This window comes from Homo sapiens, chromosome 3 (genome assembly GCF_000001405.40).
Source record: "Homo sapiens chromosome 3, GRCh38.p14 Primary Assembly".
In the NCBI taxonomy this organism is placed as follows: Eukaryota; Metazoa; Chordata; class Mammalia; order Primates; family Hominidae; genus Homo; species Homo sapiens.
Window position 1 is genome coordinate 185,959,555 of NC_000003.12, and position 21,696 is coordinate 185,981,250.

General features: G+C 44.6%; 1 pseudogene across 1 annotated transcript, besides 1 other annotated feature; it reads left to right on the forward strand.

Annotated features, from left to right (window-relative positions):
- Nucleotides 1–388: 388 nt before the first annotated feature.
- On the forward strand, nucleotides 389–21,323 carry NMRAL2P (NmrA like redox sensor 2, pseudogene; annotated as a pseudogene). Its single transcript, NR_151491.1, has 4 exons — nucleotides 389–524; nucleotides 12,061–12,310; nucleotides 15,612–15,802; nucleotides 20,104–21,323. The product of NR_151491.1 is annotated as an NmrA like redox sensor 2, pseudogene (transcript).
- Nucleotides 7,106–7,400: an enhancer, noted in NCBI's record as "tiled region #2251; HepG2 Activating DNase matched - State 5:Enh". NCBI's record gives its function as "activates a minimal TATA promoter and a strong SV40 promoter by Sharpr-MPRA in HepG2 cells {active_cell/tissue: HepG2}" and the evidence as "EXISTENCE:reporter gene assay evidence [ECO:0000049][PMID:27701403]".
- Nucleotides 21,324–21,696: the final 373 nt, after the last annotated feature.

The following is a 21,696-nucleotide window of genomic DNA, read 5'->3' on the forward strand; positions in this document are numbered from 1 at the left end:
ACCTGAGGTCAGGAGTTCGAGACCAGCCTGGCCAACATGGTGAAATCCCCTCGTCTCTACTAAAAATACAAAAAAAAAAAAAAAAAAAAAAAATTAGCCAGGCATAGTGGCACGTGCCTGTAATCCCAGCTACTTGGAAGGCTGAGGCAGGAGAATCCTTTGAACCCAGTGGGTGGAGATTGCAGTGAGCTGTGACTGTGACATTGCACTCAAGCCTGGGTAACAAGAACAAAACTCCATCTCAAAAAAAAAAAAAAAAAAAAAAAGAAGAAGAAAAGAAAAAGAAAAAAAGAAAATTGAAAATTGCAGTGTCACAGTGAGTAAGTGGACTAGTGGTAACAGGAACAAGGAGGGGCACAATAAAAGGCGTGGTAATTGGAATGGGTTTATAATTCTCACCAGAGAAGAAACACAGCATTTCGGCTGGTGTCGCTGCTCCAGGGAAAGTTCTGTTACTCCACTGACTCTCTCTTTTCCTGATAACATGGCCAGCAAGAAAGTAATTACAGTGTTTGGAGCAACAGGTAAAAAGTCTTTAATTTTTAGGGCATGCTGACTTTGCTCACTCTCCTGTCTTCCTGTTTGTAACTTTAGAGCCTGCAAGTGTGGGCTGAACAAAGAGCTCTTTGGAAGAAATTTTTTAAAGTATCCTATTGCTTTAGTTCTTGATGTGGTAAAGGGGTGGCATGATTTGATTTGTAACTTGATCTCAGCAGGACAAGGACACTGACGTAATCTCCCTTTCCCAGTCATGGGGCTAACTGGTTGGTATAAGTCTCATTTCAACATAAGCTATACTCTGAAGTCTTCTCTCCACTCACTTCCTAATAAGCAAAAGGTACAAGTGTGAGGGGCCTGGGGGTTTGTAGTGAATATCCAATGCCTGACCAATCTTCCAGGGAGTCTGCAAGGATGGAGTGTGTGGGAAGTTTGCATTCCTGGCTCCCTTACAGTTTGTTCCTCAACAGTCAGAGCCATCTTTGCACAATATAAATCAAATCAGGTTTTTCTCCTTCAATCTATTCTCATTTCAGCCTCCCAAGGATCCATTTGAAACTGTCAGATCATGTCAGGCCTCTGCTCAAAACCCTCTAAAAGATCCCAGCCCCATGGCACTCCCAGTAAAGTGCAAAGTCCTGCTAATGCCCTGCAACAGGGCCTTGGAAATGTTGTGTCAGAACTCTCTTCCTGCCACCCTCCTCTCACTCCGCTTCATTACCCTGGCTTTCTTGCTGTTCCTCCAAAACAATCCCACAAATACAAAGGCTCTGGCCTTTGTATTGGCTGCTTCTTCAACCTAGAATGATCTCCCTCTGTTACTGATATAATTTGACTGTGTCCCCACCCAAATCTCATCTTGAATTGTAGTTCCCACAATCCCTACATGTCATACGAGTGACCAGGTGGAGATAAATGAATGCTGGGGGCGGTTCCCCCAGCCTGTTCTCATGATAGTGAAAAGAGAGAGTTCCCTGGTCCTGGTCCCCCACCACAGGGTGTGCCACAGGGGTGTGGCTCTCTGTTCTGCCACTGCAAGCTCAAACTCTTTAAGAGATGGGGAGCATGCATACCGGTAGGTGCAGGAACTGGGGCAAGTGCTTTTGGGCTCCAGCCCTATGGCAGCATCTAGGGGTGGGTGTCTGTAACTTTCAAAGCCCAAGTGTGCATGTGTTACAGTGCACTCTTTTAGCCTTGCCATCCACAGATGGCTTAAGGGTTAACCAGCTCAGTGAACCCTCTGCCTTTTTGCAAAAGGAGGGGGCTAGTGTGACAACTTTCTGTATCCCAAGCCCTCATCCAGCATCCCAGAAGAATCAGGTCACACATGGACTTGAAGGATGAATGCAGGGGTTTTATTGAGTGGTGGAAGTGGCTCTCAGTGGGATGGTTGGGGAGCTAGACAGGGGATGGAGTAGAAATATGATCTTGCCCTGGAGTTTGGCTGTCCAGTGGCTGATTCTCCGAACATCCTCAGCCAAACTCCTCCTGACGTTCCTTCTCTTCTCTCCTCTGCTGCACCATTCTGCCATCTGTTTGTCTCCTTGTCTCCTAGTCTGCTTCTGGAGCCTGGGGTTTGGGGCTTATATGGATACAGGATAGGGGTGGTGGCAGGCCAGAAGGCAACTTTTGGGGTGCAAAAACAGGAATGCCTATTACTTAGGGCAGCAGGTATCCAGGCTTAAGGGTGGGGCCTTTGCCAGGAACCACCCTCTTCTACCCAGTATTTCCCTGTCTCCTGTTCGTATCAATAGTGAGTTCGTTCTCATGAGATCTGGTGGTTTTACAAGCGGCTTCCCCCTTCACTGGGCCCTCATTTTCTCTGCTGCCACCCTGTGAAGTGGTGTCTCCCGCCATGATTGTAAGTTTCCTGAGACCTCCCTAGCCATGTGAAACTGTGAGTCAATTAAACCTCTTTTCTTTATAAATTACCCAGTGTTGGGTATTTCTTCACAGCAGTGTGAGAAAGAACTAACACAGTTACCCACTGCTTTCCCCCTCATGCCATTCAGGTCTCTGCTTAGATGTTACCTTTTCCATGGGGACTTTCCAGACCTCTATATTTGAAATTGCAACTCTGCTTCCACCCTGCCCATGTCTGGCTCCCTTCCTTACTTCAATTCTTCTATTTCTGCCTGTCTTTCCACACTAGAATATAAGCTCTATGAGAACAGGAATTTGTCTGGAGGAAGTCAAGGGCTAAAGCAGGAAGCAGAGTGAAATAAATTCTCAAAAATCAACAGTCAAGTATGATATTAAAAGGAGAAGAAGAGGCAATGGAGCGGGGGATGACTCTATTAAGCGTTAGGGTGATGGTAAAGATGTTGGCTTTTCCTGAAAGAGAAAAGTGATCGAAGGGTTTGGTTTTTTCAGTGTGTTTGTGTTTAGCTACAGGGTCTCACTGTGTTGCCTGGGCTGGAGGGTAGTGACTCTCCATCCCAGGAGCCATCATAGTACACAGCCTCAAACTCCTGGGCTCAAGTGATCTTCCCACCTCAGCCTCCCAAGTAGCTGGGACTGCAGGATTGCAACAGCATACCAGACACTGAAGGATTTTGAGCAGAGGAATCACATGACTTTGGTGTTAAAAGGATCATTTTAGCTTATGCTTTGTGAAGGGACTATAGGGGATAAGGGCTGAAGCAGGAAGACCTGTTAGGAGGTGGTTGTCATAAAATAGGCGAGATGATAGTAGCTTAGACCAGGGTGGTAGCAATGAGATTGTGGAGAGTGGTCAGATTCTGTGGAGGTTTTAAAAGTTGTGTTGGCAGGATTTGTTGGTGGACCAGATATCAGGGGTAAGAAGGGAAGAGTTGAAAATGACTCTGAAGTTTTATGGCTTGAGTAACTGGAAGAATAAAGTTGAGATTCACTGAAATATGGGAGACAGTGGGGAGGAGGAGGTCAGGAACTCCTTAAACTTGAATTGGTCTCATTAAACTTGAGTTGCCAACTAGGCATCCAGAGACTGGGTAGGCAGTTGGATAAGATTTTTGGGAGTGGCCAGTCACTCTATTAATTCTGTCTTCTAAATCTCTCTGATTTTTTCCATTCTCCCTCTTAGAAGCTTTTTCCACACTCCATTTGCCTTCTCTCCATGTTCCACCTTTAAACAGAACCATCTTTCAAATCTGATTAATTTTTCAAACCTTGTAGACAGCTAATACCACCTTGTATCACATTCCCATTCTCCTTCATTACTGCTCAAGATGTAAGCCCCTCTGGTTATTAGTCTCAACCCTATATTTCGCCACGCATCCTTTCCTTGACCCCACATCTCAGACTCCCTTGCCTACAAAACCTTCTCACGGTACCCTTCTGTTCCAACATCAACATCTTGCTAAATGCCCCCTCAACCTCTTTGAATAAATGGTCACACTTGACTTTTCTCTCTCAATCCTCCCTGTTCATCATCACCACATCCAGTTAATCACCAAAATCCTGTTGATATCATCTTGTCAAGGAAAACTGTGAAGGCCCGGCGCAGTGGCTCACGCCTGTAATCCCAGCACTTTGGGAGGCCGAGGCCGGCGGATCATGAGGTCAGGAGATCGAGACCACCGTGAAACCCGGTCTCTACTAAAAATACAAAAAAAAAAAAAAAATTAGCCGGGCGTAGCGGCTGTCGCCTGTAGTGCCAGCTACTCGGGAGGCTGAGGCAGGAGAATGGCGTGAACCCGGGAGGTGGAGCTTGCAGTGAGCCGAGATCGCGCCACTGTACTCCAGCCTGGGTGACAGAGCGAGACTCCGTCTCAAAAAAAAAAAAAAAAAAAAGGAAAACTGTGAAAGACTTTGAAATGGGAAAAAAAGGTTGCTGGGTGTCCATGCCCAGGGCACCGTTCTCACTTTTGTGAGCCTTTCCTTGTTTTTAAGATATCTATAACTCTATAAGTTGTAGCAAATAGATAATAACGCAACCGATTCTTGTCCATAGAAATGCAAATGAAGGCCGGGTGTGGTGGCTCATGCCTGTAATCCCAGCACTTTGGGAGGCCGAGGTGGGCTGATCATGAGGTCAGGAGTTTGGGACCAGCCTGGCCAATATGGTAAAACCCCGTCTCTACTGAAAATACAAAAATTAGCCAGTCATGGTGGCAGGCACCTGTAGTCCCAGTTACTCAGGAGGCTGAGGCAGGAGAATCGCTTGAACCCAGGAGGCAGCAGTTGCAGTGAGCTGAGATCACGCCACTGCACTCCAGTCTGGGCAACAGAGCAAGACTCTGTCTCAAAAAAAAAAAAAAAAAAGAAATACAAATGAATTGTGTCTGGTGGACCACAATTGATTATTGCCTGGTGGATATTGACTGGTTTTGTCCCTAATTGTACATTCATTTTAGCATTTTGGCATTCTTGATTGCCTACATATATGTGTGTTCTTTGAATTTTTCTTATAACATTGTACTGGTTCCCTCATTAATTAATGAGTTAAATAAAATTTTGACACATTCATTTTATGTGTGTACAAATTATCATTTTACTCTTTAAAAATGTATCCTTTAATATTCTGAGTATCTCTTAAATTTGCATTATTCCCTCCACCTGAATAACCCCTTCTAGCACAGGTCATTATCAACCTTTACCTAGATTATTTTAAAGCCCACTAATTGTACCCTTGTCTGTGGTCTCTCTATCCTATTCCACACTCTCCATTAACCAGAGCACTTTCCCAGCATGTAAGTCTGAACATACTGCTCAATTTCATAAAATCTCCTGCTCCCAGAACAAAGTGCAGCCCTCTAGGCCTATTTTGCTTCTCCAGCCTCATGTGTGACATTGACCTGCAGTTCTCAGTCAGATTCATTTCAGTTCTCTGAATTCACTCCCTTCTCTGTCACCTCTAGAATAAAGCACTTGCAATTGCTTTGCATGCAACACACTCCACATGCCTCTCTTCTCCCAATTCTTGCCTGTTCTTTAGGGCTCATTTCTGTTACCACTTCCTTCAGGAAGCCTCTCTCTAGTCTGGGTTAGATGCTCCACTTATGTCCTCCTGTGTGCCCTCAGCCCTTTACCTCCTCCCCTAATAGCACATATCACGCTGTATTATAATTGCTCTTTAATGATCTCCTCTGCTAGTCTTTAAGCTCTGTGCTGGCAGGTGCCATGTTCAGGTTTGAATCCTGAAATCCTTACTTAAGCAGCTGTATAATCTGGGGTAAATCCTTGAACTCATTAGGCCATAATCCAATATATAATGTCTTTCATAAATTTTATCTTATATCCAACTTGTTCAAACCTGCTATTGTTTACCACTACATCCCCAGGGCATAGCACAGCATGTAAAAGTCATTCAAAAACATGGTCCCAGGACAATAACAGAAACCTCCCTATAAAAATCCTTTTCAAGGACCATGACCCACCCTACCTACTCCAGCACCCCCCAACCCCCTGCAAAAAGCACAAATTATACTCAAATAGAAAGTACTTCAGTTTGTTTAGATTTTTATTTTATAAAGTCAGAGTAAAATATTCAACCCACCTGCTTTTTAATTGTGAATGGTTCCATATAATGGCCATCCTAGGAGGGATGAAAAAGGGTTTTGTTTTACTTTCTCTAATTTATAAAGAAAAAAAGGTTTATTTGATTAATGATTCTCGTGGCTGGGAAGTTCAAGATTGTGCATCTGCATCTGATGAGGGCCTCAGGCTGCTTCCACTCACGGTGGAAGGTAAAGGGGAGCTGGCATGTGCAGAGATCACATGGAGAGAGAGGAAGCAAGAGGGAGGGTGGAGGTGCCAGGCTCATTTTAACAACCAGCTCTCACAGGAACTAATAGATGAGAACTCACCTCTGAGGGAGGGCATTAATCTATTCATGAGGGATCTGCTCCCATGACCCAAACACCTCCAATTAGGCTTCAATATTGGGAATCACATTTCAGCATGATGTTTGGAGGGGACAAATATCCACACCAGCAGTCAGTGTTCTGCAATTTCACAGTGATGCGCATAAAGTGGGAGTTCATTTATCATTGTATGGGGCACTCAGTGACCTCTCAATCTGGAAGCTCAGTTAATATCCTTGGACTCCAAGAAATTACTATTTTCTTAGATAATTTCAATACCTCCATCTATTTCTCATTCTATAATTCCCCTGGCTTGATCTTCTAATTATTTTTCTCTCTCTTATTTTACTTGCTTTATTTTTCCCCTTCTAATTCTGGGAGAGTTCTCCAACTTTTTCTACTGACATTTTATTTCTGCTATAATAAATTTTTGAGAGCAGCTGCTTATCTTTTGAATGCTTGCTCTCTTTCTCCTGTCTCTTCTTCTCCTCTTTTTGGGCTGATATAGTGTTTGGAATGCAAAACCTTTTCTAATCTCAGAGGATATTAATTTGGAGTCTTACTCTGTCACCCAGGCTGGAGCGCAGTGGCGAGATCTTGGCTCACTGCAACCTCTGTCTCCTGGGTTCAAATGCTTCTCCTGCCTCAGCCTCCCAAGTAGCTGGGATTATAGGCACCTGCCACCACACCCGGCTAATTTTTGTATTTTTAGTCGAGAAGGGGTTTTACCATGTTGGTAAGACTGATCTTGAACTCTGACCTCAAGTGATCTGCCCACCTCCACCTCCCAAAGTGCTGGGATTACAGGATTGAGCCACCGTGCCTGGCCCTAGAGGATATTAATTCTTTTTAATTTTTTTCTTCAGTTCTCTGGACTGTTTCTGTTTCCATCAGTTTGTTTATTTTGGTTTTGCCTTTCATGTTGGAGGCTTACCTCAAACATCTGGTGAACTTTGGCTGTGTGTTCATATTTACTAGTAGACAATTTACTATGAAACTCTGTGTGCAAAGACAGAGCTCACTGAATAACCCCTGACCTTCCTATAGGGTTATCAGTGGTGTATTAGCTGGAGTCCCACAAGAAACAGGTGCCACACTCCTTCAGAGAAGCTGAGAAAAATTTAATAACGGTGGACAAGGAAGAGACCAATAAGGAATAAGTAAGCAACAAGAGGAAGGAGAAAAGGGCAAGAGAGATGACCAGAGCTTGGGGACAGTAGCGATGTTAAGGGGATCATCTCTCTTGCCCTTGGGTCTCTCATTGCCCAGAACCAACTTGAGGGCACGAGAGCCCATTGATGGAATCCATAAGGATCAGCTGTTGAGTGCACTAAGTAGAAGAGAGAAAGTGAATATGGAGCTGGAAACACAAAAAAGTATCCAGGACAGGTATCCAGCCAATTTGATGGAGCAACACAAATGTTAGCAACCCAGCATAGCACCTGGCCTATATCACAGGATAGTCCATAAATATTTGCAGGGTGAATACATTAGGCAAGTAATGATCATATCGTAATTGGTCTTGAATGTGGTAAAAAATTTTTACAATTTTTTTTTTTTGCCTGGCGCGGTGGCTCACGCCTATAATCCCAGCACTTTGGGAGGCCGAGGCGGGTAGATCACGAGGTCAGGAGATCGAGACCATCCTGGCTAACACGGTGAAGCCCCGTCTCTACTAAAAATATAAAAAATTAGCCGGGCATGGTGGCGGGCGCCTGTAGTCCCAGCTACTCAGGAGGCTGAGGCAGGAGAATGGTGTAACTCGGGAGGCGGAGCTTGCAGTGAGCCAAGATCGCACCACTGCACTCCAGCCTGGGCAACAGAGCGAGACTCCGTCTCAAAAAAAAAAAACAAACTTTTTACAAGTTTTTAAATTTCTAAAAAAATATAGACCAGGGCCAGGTGCAGTGGCTCATGCCTGTAATCCCAGCACTTTGGGATGCCAAGGCAGGTGGATCACTTGAGGTCAGGAGTTCGAGACCAGCCTGACCAACATGGCGAAACTCTGTATCTACTAAAAATACAAAATCAGCTGGGTGCATGCCTGTAATCCCAGCTACTCACAGACTGAGGTGGAGAATTGCTTGAACCCAGGAGGCAGAGGTTGTAGTGAGCTGAGATTGCACCATTGCACTCCAGCCTAGGCCGCAAGAGCAAAACTCCATCTCAAACACACACACACACACACACACACACACACACACATATATAAATATATAAAAATAAATATAAATATGTATGTATATATGTACATAGAGAGACAGAGAGCACAGGAACCTCTTTTGAAGAATTGTCTTAATAACCCCAATATAAGATCTATAACCAGGTAAAAGAAGAATAATCGCCCTTATGGAATCTGGAGAACCTGTGGGCATCCCTCATTTTGACACCCTGCTCACTTGCCCTTCTTGTTGCCTCGAGCCTCTCCCACTCTTCTCTTCCCATGTCCTCTGCAAAAATGCCTCTGAAGAGGCCACAAAGAACTTAGTTTGAAAGCCATGGGGATATGTGAAGGGCCATGTAGCACCCCCTGCAGTAGGTACTGCAGCAGCTCTACTCTGAATTATGAGATTTCTGACCTTCTTTCAGTGAACATTCTTCCTGATCCTTCCTGTGTTTCTTCTTCTCTTGACCCTGCAGGAGCTCAAGGTGGCTCTGTGGCCAGGGCAATTTTGGAGAGCAAAAAATTTGCAGTGAGAGCAGTGACCAGGGATGTGACTTGACCAAATGCCCTGGAGCTCCAGCGCCTTGGAGCTGAGGTGGTCAAAGGTGACCTGAATGATAAAGCATCGGTGGACAGTGCCTTAAAAGGTGTCTATGGGGCCTTCTTGGTGACCAACTTCTGGGACCCTCTCAACCAAGATAAGGAAGTGTGTCGGGTAGAAACCAAATTGTTTCATTTTTCCTCTTGAGCCCTTTCCTCTTACCCTCCCTAGCAGCTTCTTTCCTTCCTATAAGGGGACAGGCCTTCAGTCTGGGCAAATGTATGTCTTACATCCCTTTTGGCATTTATAAAAAATATGTACTTTAAGTACTTGTTAAAGGTATCTTTGTAAAATTAATGTTATGTAGCATCTGTCTAGGTCTCGAGACCTTGAGTATTCAGAGTGAGCATTTAATGAAGCTAGTCATTGGATTCTCCACTTCTCACCATTTGTTTGTACATGGCATGGGGGGGGTGGTGGCAAGGGTACCCCCAAATTTGAGGCTAGTTTGAGAGTGAAATGGAGAGAATAAAGATGTAATTTACACTTCATTTATACTTCAGATAGATAATTTGGGGATGGGTACATAGAAAAAGAAATAAAAGAGCAAATAAACCCACAATGAATTAAATTCAGGGAAAATGAAAGTTTGTAGAAAAAGTAAATGTAGGCTGGGTGCAGTGGGTCATGCCTGTAATCCCAGCACTTTTGGAGGCCGAGGCAGGTGGATCACCTGAGGTCGGGAGTTCGAGACCAGCCTGACCAACATGGTGAAACCCCCATCTCTACTAAAAATACAAAATTGGCTGGGCATGGTGGTACATGCCTGTAATCCCAGCTACTTGGGAGGCTGAGGCAGGAGAATCGGTGGAACCTGGGAGGTGGAGGTTGCAGTGAGCCACGATCGTACCATTGCACTGCAGCCTGGGCAACAAGAGTGAAACTCCATCTCAAAAAAATAAAATAAAATAAAAAAGAAAAAGAAAAAATAAATGTAACCATTGAATATCACATAACTCAGCTTCAGCTGTGTGTAAGCACTGAATATTGATCTAGCCAAAAACAATGATTGGGAGAATGAAACAAGGGAATTGTGTATATGTGTGGTGGTGGTGGTGGACAACCTGAGTGAGTAAGAGAGGAGAGAGAGCGAGTGAGTGAGAGACAATCATTAAATCCTCATCTTTCATAGTAGGAATTTAGTAGATGATATTTCAAATTGAAAAAATCAACAATTAGTGGTATAAACGTTTACAAAAATAAACAGCTAAATGAAATTAGTGTTACTTCTGGAGAACAGTAATCAGCATGGGGCACAGGGAACTTATTTTATTTTATTTGTTTTCTTTTATGTTTTAGAGACAGGGTCTCACTGTGTTGCCCATGCTGGTCCTGATCCCCTAGCCTCAAGTAATCCTCCCACCTCAGCCTCTTGGGAATCTCTTTTTCTTTTTTTGAGACGGAGTCTCGCTCTGTCGCCCAGGCTGGAGTGCAGTGGCACAATCTCCGCTCACTGCAAGCTCCGCCTCCTGGGTTCACGCCATTCTCCTGCCTCAGCCTCTGGAGTAGCTGGGACTACAGGCGCCCGCCACCACGCCCGGAGAAATTTTTGTATTTTTAGTGGATACGGGGTTTCACTGTGTTAGCCAGGATGGTCTCCATCTCCTGACCTCGTGATCCGCCCGCCTCGGCCTCCCAAAGTGCTGGGATTACAGGCGTGAGCCACCTCGCCCGGCCGGGAATTTCTTTTTCATTATAAGATCCATTCCCTCCCAACCCATGACAGTACTATTTGAAAATTTAAACTATGTATATGTATACATTTGAGAAAAAATGAAGATTAGATTTAAAAAAATATAATGGATGGTATTAGCCACTTGAAGAAATGGCACAATTCAAAAAATCGAGAGCAGGATCAAACTGTTCCAGGAATGTCTCTTGAATTAATTATACCATTCACAGCCTCTGTTTTAGTGATAAACTCTGGAAGGGCTTATTTTAGGAGACTTGAATTCTACTTCTGATATTTACTTACTAGGAAATGTAGGGATACAAGTCACCTCTCTGCTTCACTTCCTGCCTCTGCTAACCCAGGTTAATTATGTCTTCTCTGCCTGCCGCATAAGGTTTTTTAAGGAAAAGTAAGAAGTTAACAGCAAAAAGAAAGGAAAAAAGAAGAGAGAGATGAAAGTGCTTTGGAAAATTTGGATCTAAAAACACACAAAAAAGAGAATATATATACCTGTGTGTTTGTGTGTGTGTGTATATATGCCTCCATTATGCCCTCAATATCCAAATGGTGTGTAGATATATTCCATTACTAGACACAATTATAGAAAATAAATAAATGCGATTGCAGTTGATCACAAAGACACTGAGAGCCCAGAGAAAAAGGCCATCTCTTCCTGGTCAGTTCCCACCAGGTTGCTTCTTGGCTTCAAACAGGTACCTGGGGTTCCTTTCTCCTCTGCCACCTCTCTAATTTCTTATTCTACTACTCCCCCACCTCCGGTGTTCTGCTGACAGCCCCTTTGGGAGCAGGCTGAGGAGTTGGGGGTTTTGGAGTGGAGCCTCTGCTCACCAATGCGGCTGTGGTGGCCTCTCGTAAGGTAAATTGAATATATTTTGAGGCTGGTAGAGCTTCCTCTCCATAGGGATGGGGGTAATAAGAAAAGGAGAGAGTGGGCCCGGCGCCGTGGCTCAGGCCTGTAATCCCAACAATTTTGGAGTCCGAAGTAGGCAGATGACTTGAGATCAGGAGTTTCAGAACAGCCTGGCCGTATGGTGAAACCCCATCTCTACTAAAAAATACAAAAAACTAGCTGGGCGTGGTGGTGCGCACTTGTAACCCCGGCTACTCGGGAGTCTGAGCCAGGAGAATCACTTGAATCCGGGAGGCGGAAGCTGCAATGAGCGGAAATCACCAGACTCTGTCTTAAAAAAAAAAAAAAAGCAGTGGGGAGAGGGGGTAGAGGGGAGGTGAGGAGATGGAAGAGATCCTGCTCTTAACATCTGTCCAAATGCAAATACAAATACAGCGGCCTATATGAGGATTTACTTTTGATCTTCAGGGGAAGCTGGTGGCAGACTCCGCCAAGCACCTGGGTCTGAAGCACGTGGTGTACAGCGGCCTGGAGAACGTCAAGCGACTGACGGATGGCAAGCTGGAGGTGCCGCACTTTGACAGCAAGGGCGAGGTGGAGGAGTACTTCTGGTCCATTGGCATCCCCATGACCAGTGTCCGCGTGGCGGCCTACTTTGAAAACTTTCTCGCGGCGTGGCGGCCCGTGAAAGCCTCTGATGGAGATTACTACACCTTGGGTAAAACGAAGTGAAAACTCACTAGGCACCTGGTTGCCCTCCTCTCCACTCACCTGCCTCCCTCTCTCCCTTCTTGCCCCTCTGCAGTGGACACCTGTCATCTGAGTGCCTTCTATGTGTTTAGCCCTATGTGAAGTGCTGAGAGGGATGCCAAATTGTCCTCAGCTTCTCTAGGGCACTACACTAAGTTGCTCTTCTAGGGCAGAGAACTAGATCTGGGATCAGAAGCACAAAGGGTTACATTTCCAATCTTAACATACTGACCGTCCTTAATGTAAGTACTGGAGTTAGCTATGTGACCTCTAGCCTCAGTTTCCTCAGGTTATTTTTATTTTATTTTTTGAGATGGAGTCTTGCTCTGTCGCCCAGGCTGTAGTGCAGCAGCGTAATCTTGGCCCACTGCAACCTCCACAGCCTGGGTTCAAGTGATTCTTGTGCCTCACCCTCCTGCGTGGCTGGCATTACACGCACCCGCCACCATGCCCGGCTAATTTTTGCATTTTTAAATAGATACGGGGTTTCACCATGTTGCCCAGGCTAGTCTCAAACTCCTGAACTCAAGGGATCCAGCCAACTCAACCTCCCAAAATGCTGGGATTACAGGTGTGAGCCACCACGCCTGGCAGATTCCTCAAGGTTTAACGGGAAAATTGGACAAGATGACTTTTTTTTTTTTTTTTTGAGTCTGAGTCTCTGTTGCCCAGGCTGGAATGCAGTGGGTCTTTTGCCCATACTGGGTTTCATTGCTCACTGTGCAGCCTCAAACTTTTGGGCTCAAGCATCCTCCTACCTCAGCCTCTTGAGTAGCTAGGACTATAGGTGTATACCATCACATCTGGCCAATTATTATTTTATTTTATTTTTGAAGAAATGGGGTCTCTCTTTGTTGCCCAGGCTGGTCTTGAACTCCTGGGCTCAAGCGATCCTCCCACCTCTGCCTCCCAAAGTGCTGTGATTACAGGTGTGAGCCACCATGCCCAGCCTCAGGATGACTTCTAAGACCCTTCTAGCTCATCCATCTGAACTTCTGTGGCAACAATGGAGGAAAAGTGTTCTTCTGATCTGGGTCCCATGGTCAGAATTAGAGCTGAGAGGGACCGTGACCTGCCTGGGAGACAGGTTCCCAGGCCCTACCTGCAGAGAGTCCAATTCCGGGTTGAGTCCAGGTCTGGGTTGAGGCCTAGTTTTAACAAGGACTCCTGGTAATTCCAAAGCTGCTGGTCCACTGGCCGGCATTCCCCTTCCCTTTGGGGACACTTTCTGTGGCCATGGTCAGAGTTGGCCTTTGTGCAGTGGGGGGAATGTGGGAATACCAATGACAATTCAGGCTTTCTTCCTAGATTCAGAATTAATACTCACCAGAAGCCGGGAGGGGTGGCCTATGGTCCCAGCTACTCAGGAGGCTTAGGTGACAGGATTGTTTGAAATAGAATGAGGGAGGGGAGGGTAGTAGGAGGTGAGGTCAGAACTAACAGAGGGTCTGGTTGTGTAAGCTTTGTAAACAACCGGCTTTTCCTCTGAGGGACACAGAGAACTATCAGAAGGTTCTGAGCAGACAGGGCTGGGTGCGATGGCTCATGCTTGTAATCCCAGCACTTTGGGAGGCCGTGGCAGGCGGATCTCTTGAGGCCAGGAGTTTGAGACTGGCCTGGCCAAGATGATGAAACCCCGTCTCTACTAAAAGTACAAAAATTAGCTGGGCGTGGTGGTGGGTGCCTGTAATCCCAGCTACTCGGGAGGCTGAGGCAGGAGAATTGCTTGAACCCAGGAGGCAGAGGTTGCAGTGAGCTGAGATCACGCCACAGCACACTCTAGCCTGGGTGACAAAGCAAGACTCCGTCTCAAAAAAAATTTTTTTTTTTTGTATTTTTAGTAGAGACGGGGTTTCACCGTGTTAGCCAGGATGGTCTCAATCGCCTGATCTCATGATCCGCCTGCCTCGGCCTCCCAAAGTGCTGGGATTACAGGCGTGAGCCACCGTGCCTCCACTGCTATAGCATTTCTGACGGGATGCCTGGCCAACGTGGTGAAACACTGTCTCTACTAAAAATACAAAAATCAGCCTGGTGTGGTAGTGGGTGCCTGTAATTCCAGCACTTTGGGAGGCCAAGGCAGGCGGATCACGAGGTCAGGAGATTGAGACCATCTTGGCTAACACGGTGAATCCTCGTCTCTACTAAAAATACAAAAAATTAGCTGGGCATGGTGGCGGGCACCTGTAGTCCCAGCTACTCAGGGGGCTGAGGCAGGAGAATGGTGTGAACCTAGGAGGCGGAGCTTGCAGTGAGCAGAAATCGCACCACTGCACTCCAGCCTGGGTGAAAGTGCAAGACTCCATCTGAAAAAAAAAAAAAAAAAAAGGGCAAGAGTGGAAACAAGGAGACAAATTTTGCAATAACTCAAGTCACGGATGATGGTGGCTTGGACCAGGGTGGTAGCATTGAAGATGATGAGAAGTGGCCAGATTTTGTACATATCATGCATATGATTTCCAAAAAAAAAAAAGAAAAGGATATGGGATGTGAGAGAAGTGTCAAGGCTGACTGCAAGATTTGTGACCTGAGAAATCAGAATGATAGGGTTGCCATTAGCTGAGGTGGGAGGCTGTAGGGAAGCAGGTTGTGGGGTGTAGGAGTTCAGTTTGGGGCCTGTTGAGTTTAAGATGTCTATTGAACAGTCAGGTAAGGATTTGAGTACGTAGTGGGACACATGAGTCTGGAATTCAGCAGAAGTTTTGGCTGGAGATACATTTAATCATACTTTACATAGAGAAGATATTTAGTAAATGGTTGCTCTTTTAAATCAATATCCAGGCACTGTAGTATTCTCTCTCTTTTTTTTTTTTTTTTTGAGATGAAGTCTTGTTCTGTTACCCAGGCTGGAGTGCAGTGGCACCATCTCGGCTCACTGCAACCTCTGCCTTCTGGGTTCAAGTGATTCTCCTGCGTCAGCCTCCGGAGTAGCTGGGATTACAGGCACGCACCATCACACCTGGCTAATTTTTGTATTTTTAGTAGAGACAGAGTTTCACCATGTTGGCCAGGCTGGTCTCGAACTCCTGACCTCAGGTGATCCACCTGCCTCGGCCTCCCAAAGTGTTGGGATTACAGGCGTGAGCCACCGTGCTCAACCTGTAATTTCTCAAACAAAACCTTGTAACTGTGTATAGATTGTGGTCACTGGGTTTTACATTGCCGTCCCACACCTTTTCTTTAAATGATTGATTAGTTTGGGTTGGTGGGACCTACCAAGGATGTGATGTAATTAACTATTTATCTTTTTCTATTTTTTTTTAAACTAGCTGTACCGATGGGAGATGTACCAATGGATGGTATCTCTGTTGCTGATATTGGAGCAGCCGTCTCTAGCATTTTTAATTCTCCAGAGGAATTTTTAGGCAAGGCCGTGGGGCTCAGTGCAGAAGCACTAACAATACAGCAATATGCTGATGTTTTGTCCAAGGTTTTGGGGAAAGAAGTCCGAGATGCAAAGGTGAGTTCTTAGGGGACATCCATGTGATCACAAGAGGCCACCTTGGTTAACATTCCACTGACTTACAAATTTTGGTAGACTCTCTGTGGATTTAGGCAGGATTGAACTTAAACTTTCAGAAGAAATTGAGAAGGATTGTGGTTCCATAAATCTATCTTCATCGATTGGTGCAGTGGAATCTCTCCCATATGGCTTTATTTCTTTGGCTTAGGGTTAATTGACTTGTAAAAGTAAAATTACTTTTGAGTGGAAAGAACGTAGAATGTGAAGATTGAGATACAGCCTTTTTACACACATGATCCCAACTCCTCTCATAAGTCCTTGCTGCTGACCACTTCGGTCGTCCAGAGCTAGCTGATGTGGAACAAGACACTTAGCTTCATTGAGCCTCAGCTTCCTCAGTTGCAAAGTGGGGAATGATAGTATCTACTTTGGATGTTCTTGTGAAAGTTACAGAGAATATATTTAAAGGGCTTATCATAGTGTTTGGCACATGGCAGAGATGTATTGAGTCTCTATTATGAACCCAATGCTACTTTAAGGAATTTGCAGCAAGGTTGGAGTAAAAATATTGATGCCCATCAAGTCGCCATGATCATTATAAGACATAACACTATAGGTGCTTAATTGTGTTGTTCAGACTATCTGTGCTATAGATGACCAGAAAACAGTGGAAGAAGGTTTCATGGAAGACGTGGGCTTGAGTTGGTCCTTGAGGGAACATGACCATGTATAGACAGAGGAGGCATCAAGAAGGCTGGCCTGGCTAATTCTGGAATAAACACGACAAACCAGAGGCAGTACGGGAAGGAGGCAAATTCTGGCTCTGCCTCTATCCTTGGTAATTTACTTAACCTCTCTCCATCTCAGTGTCTTCATATGTTCCAAAAAAAGTTGTTATACCTCCTTCATGGGATCATTGTGAGGATGAAATGAGATCTGTACAGCAGGTGCTTGGCACTGGGTCTGGCATTTAGTAAGCCCTCAGCAACTGATCATGCTATAAATCATGCAGGAATGGCCTCCTTGTGTGGGGGGCTGCCTTCTTGGGCTTGGGGGTAAGTTATTTTCTCCAAGAAATTGTGCCTGGCCAGGACAGACTTTTTACAGAAGAGTGAGAATTGGTGATATTGGGCATCACCAGCCATTTCCCCAAGCAGGTATTGACAAGAGGAAGGGAAAAGAAAACAGGTTGTTTTCAGGGTACAATGATAGAGTTGAGTAGTTCCAACAGAGAACTTATGGCCCACAAAGCCTACAATATTTATATCTAGGCCTTTAGAAAAAAGTTTGTTTCCCAGCACTTTGGGAGGCCAAGGAGGGTGGATCACGAGGTCAGGAGTTTGAGACCAGCCTGGCGAACATGGTGAAACCCCGCCTCTACTAAAAATACAAAAATTAGCTGGGCATGGTGGTGGGCACCTGTAATCCCAGCTACTGGGGAGGCTGAGGCAGGAAAATCATTTGAACCCAGGAGGTGGAGGTTGTAGTGAGCCAAGATCGCGCCATTGCACTCCAGCCTGGGCGAGAGGGCAAGACTCCGTCTCAAAAAAAAAAAAAATAGTTTGTTGACATATGTTCTAGAATATTTCCTAGAATTAGGGATAGAAAGTTGGTTCTTGTTTGGATCAACAGCTCTTGGTCCAATGATTCTAGAGGGGATATCTAGATTCCCAATTCAGCCTCGGGTACTGAAGTTGTGAGGAGGCAAAGAGATATTTTTTTTTTTCTGGAAAACCAGTGTGGGAGTCAATCCAGCCACAAAACCACATCTGGTTATCTCATTGAAGCCACACACACATTTCTCGGAGAGATTGTTACTCCTGAACCCAAGAAGGCAGCCACCCACTCAAAGATGGGCTCACAAGAAGATCTGCAAGGTTCCTTGCACCTGAGTACACATTCACTTCTCAGTGACCCTTCTCCCAGGCCATTTGCATTTGGGTCATATGTTCATTTTGTCTTGTGGTTTTGAACTCTGTAAGGAAGGAGAGAAAGAGAGAGCGTGAGTGTAGGGGATGAGTGTGTGTATTGATTCTTAGAGGATGCAGTAGACATTGTTCTGAATTGCTCAGAACCTTCCAAGCATCTATTAGTCATATACTTGGTCCCTGACACTTCTTGGTATACAAATTGTTTTATAATGCAGCTGAAGCTCCTCTGGCACCACAGACTGTAGGGCATCAGAGGCTGGAACTTCTGTAGAATGGTCTGACAATTCCGGGGAAGGGTGCATCTGGCCACAAGGTGGCGCTCCAGCCCTCACGGTCTGACTTCCTCCTACCTCCTCAAGTGGGTGTGAAATGTCTAGTTGAAACTGTCTAACCCCCAAAGGAAGATGGTTTTCTCAGAAAGTGAGACATAACAGAACAGACCTCTTTCCTTCAAAAATCTGCAGTAAAAGAATCCCTTATTTTACTGAAGTACATGTGGTATCAAAGTTATGGATGAAAGAGTGACTCAAGGAGACAGACATGAAAGAATCTTCCATGCTTCTCACATAGACTTCTATTTCCAAACTCACTTCAAATTTTCAACGTTTTTCTGATTTCAAAAATAGCAACTGCTTATTGAAGAAAACTCGGAAAATTATGAAAAAGAAAATACAAATCACACGTAGTTCAATCTCTCAGAGATAGCTACTGTTAAGATTTGACAGATTGTCTTGTCTTTTTCCAGTATATATAAGTATCTATATATGTATATACTGTATATACTTATATATATTTATTGTATTAAATATATACATATGTATATGTATATATAAGTATGTGTATATATGTATATATTTAATACAATTATTAAATTGTATTATTGTATTAAATGTATACATATATACACACATATATATACATATGCATATATTTAACACAGTTAAAATAACACTAAATGTACCATTTTGTTTCTGGCCTTTTCAGTTAATGTTATGAGAATTTTTCTATTTTGTTAAACTTCTCCAAAAACATTAAACTGCATTATGTTCTGAGAGTAGATGTACCACAATTAATTCTACCATTTCTGTATTGTTGGCCATGTAGGTTGTTCTTAATTTTCTCATTATTATGAATGCATGTGACAATCATTGTTTTGCCTAAGTTGTTTGTGTCTGTCACCTTTTTTAAAGGCCAAGTAAAATTGCAAAGTCAGAGTTTATCTCTGAGGGCTAAAGACAGATTATACTGGATCCAATAGAAATGATTTTTAGCTAATTCAGTAGGGGGAATTATGGATCTAGTTAGTGTTAGAAAGGATTCAAGGAGTGGATTTTATGGAAGGTGACAGAAGGCAGCTCAGTTGGCGTGGGATGGGCTCCATTTCTGCTTGGGCCTGGCCTTGGCAAAGGCTGGGGCAATTGGAGGTAAAATACAGACCTCTAACCAAGAAAGGGAGCGAGGATGGATGGGCCATCAGCCAGGTGAGAAGGAGAGCCTGGTGCCAGAGAGGGGGGATCTTGATGCCGCATGGAGGCCCAGGTGGGTGGACGGTTTCAGAGGGCTGGTGGGGGAATACGAAGAGGAAGTATAGGCAAGAGCACTGTGAGGTGCTATTCACATGAAGGCTGGTACAGATCTACAGTACCTTACCCAAAAGGCTTGGGGCCAGAAACAATTCAGCTTTAGGAATCTTTCGGCTTTTAGATAGGTTATTGTCTACATATATAACATCACCAGCACGGGCTGGAGCAGGAACCTGTAATCAAACACATCTATATCTCTGCAGGCAAATATTTGAATGTTTCCACTAAATGGTATGATTAAAGACCATAAATAGCTTCACATAGTTAGATCAGGTTTGCCACTAATTTAGTTCAAAAAGGTCAGTTTGCTGCCAAATGGCTTATGGGGGAAAAAAAACTTTAGAGTCTCTTGGATTTTGGAGTTAGGCTAAAGAATTGTGGACCTGGCTGGGTGCTGTGGCTCACACCTGTAACCCCAGCACTTTGGGAGGCAGAGGCGGGCAGATCACCTGAGGTCAGGAGTTTGAGACCAGGCTGGCCAACATGGCGAAACCCCATCTCTACCAAAAATACACAAAATTAGTCGGGCGTGGTGGCGGGTGCCTGTAATCCCAGCTACTCAGGAGGCTGAGGCAGGAGAATTACTTGAACTCGGAGGGCAGAGGTTGCAGTGAGCCGAGATCGCACCACTGCACTCCAGTCTGAGTGACAGAGTGAGACACTGTCTTAAAAAAAAAAAAAAAAGAATTATGGACCTGTGTCATCATTAAGGTGAATAATGTCATTTCAAACTATTTTAAGTATGGGCTATAACATTTTCTGTCTTCTTATTTGTTCTTAAAAGATTACCCCGGAAGCTTTCGAGAAGCTGGGATTCCCTGCAGCAAAGGAAATAGCCAATATGTGTCGTTTCTATGAAATGAAGCCAGACCGAGATGTCAATCTCACCCACCAACTAAATCCCAAAGTCAAAAGCTTCAGCCAGTTTATCTCAGAGAACCAGGGAGCCTTCAAGGGCATGTAGAAAATCAGCTGTTCAGATAGGCCTCTGCACCACACAGCCTCTTTCCTCTCTGATCCTTTTCCTCTTTACGGCACAACATTCATGTTGACAGAACATGCTGGAATGCAATTGTTTGCAACACCGAAGGATTTCCTGCGGTCGCCTCTTCAGTAGGAAGCACTGCATTGGTGATAGAACACGGTAATTTGATTCACATTTAACTTGCTAGTTAGTGATAAGGGTGGTACACCTGTTTGGTAAAATGAGAAGCCTCGGAACTTGGAGCTTCTCTCCTACCACTAATGGGAGGGCAGATTATACTGGGATTTCTCCTGGGTGAGTAATTTCAAGCCCTAATGCTGAAATTCCCCTAGGCAGCTCCAGTTTTCTCAACTGCATTGCAAAATTCCCAGTGAACTTTTAAGTACTTTTAACTTAAAAAAATGAACATCTTTGTAGAGAATTTTCTGGGGAACATGGTGTTCAATGAACAAGCACAAGCATTGGAAATGCTAAAATTCAGTTTTGCCTCAAGATTGGAAGTTTATTTTCTGACTCATTCATGAAGTCATCTATTGAGCCACCATTCAATTATTCATCTATTAATTCCTTGATCCTTCATTTATCCATTCTGCAAACTTTTCTTGAGCACCAGCACGGGTGGCCATTTGTGGACTTCTCTTCATTCCTATGTGTTTTCTTATCAAAGTGATCCACTCTCGAAAGGCTCCTTTCCAGTCTGTGGTTGGGTTCAAGTCATGCCAGGGCCAGGGGGCCCATCTCCTCGTTTAGCTCTAGGCAAAATCCAGGGGATCTGCAGTGGGGAGCGGGGGCAGGAAGCTGGAGGGAAGGCCTGTGAAGGGTAGGGATGTGGAAAGACAAGGTGACAGAAGGACCCAATAGGACCTTTCTATATCTCTGGCTTAGCATTTTCTACATCATATTGTAATCGTCTTATTTGCTAGTTTTCTTCCTTACTGTGAGTGACTAACAGTCATCTTTATCCCAGTGCCTGGTACATAATAAGTGATCAATAAATGTTGATTGACTAAATGAGTAAATAGTTAATTCTATCATTACAAGAAAAGAGTGGCCAGGCACAGTGGCTCATACCTGTCCTCCCAGGACTTTGGGGGAGGCTGAGGTGGGTGGATCGCCTGAGCCCAGGAGTTTAAGACTAGCCTAGGCAACATGGTGAGACCCTCTCTCTGGAAAAAAAAAAATTAGTCAGGCCATGGTGTTGTGCTCCTTTGGTCCCAGCTACTTGGAGGCTGAGGTTGCAGGATCACCTGAGCCTGGAGGTTGAGGCTGCAGTGAGCCGTGATCATGCCACTGCACTCCAGCCTGGGTGACAGAGTAAGAACCTGTCTCTAAATAAGTAAATAAATAAACAGGTGCATTGGTTGTGTGAATTGGGGGGTGTGGTTTTTATCC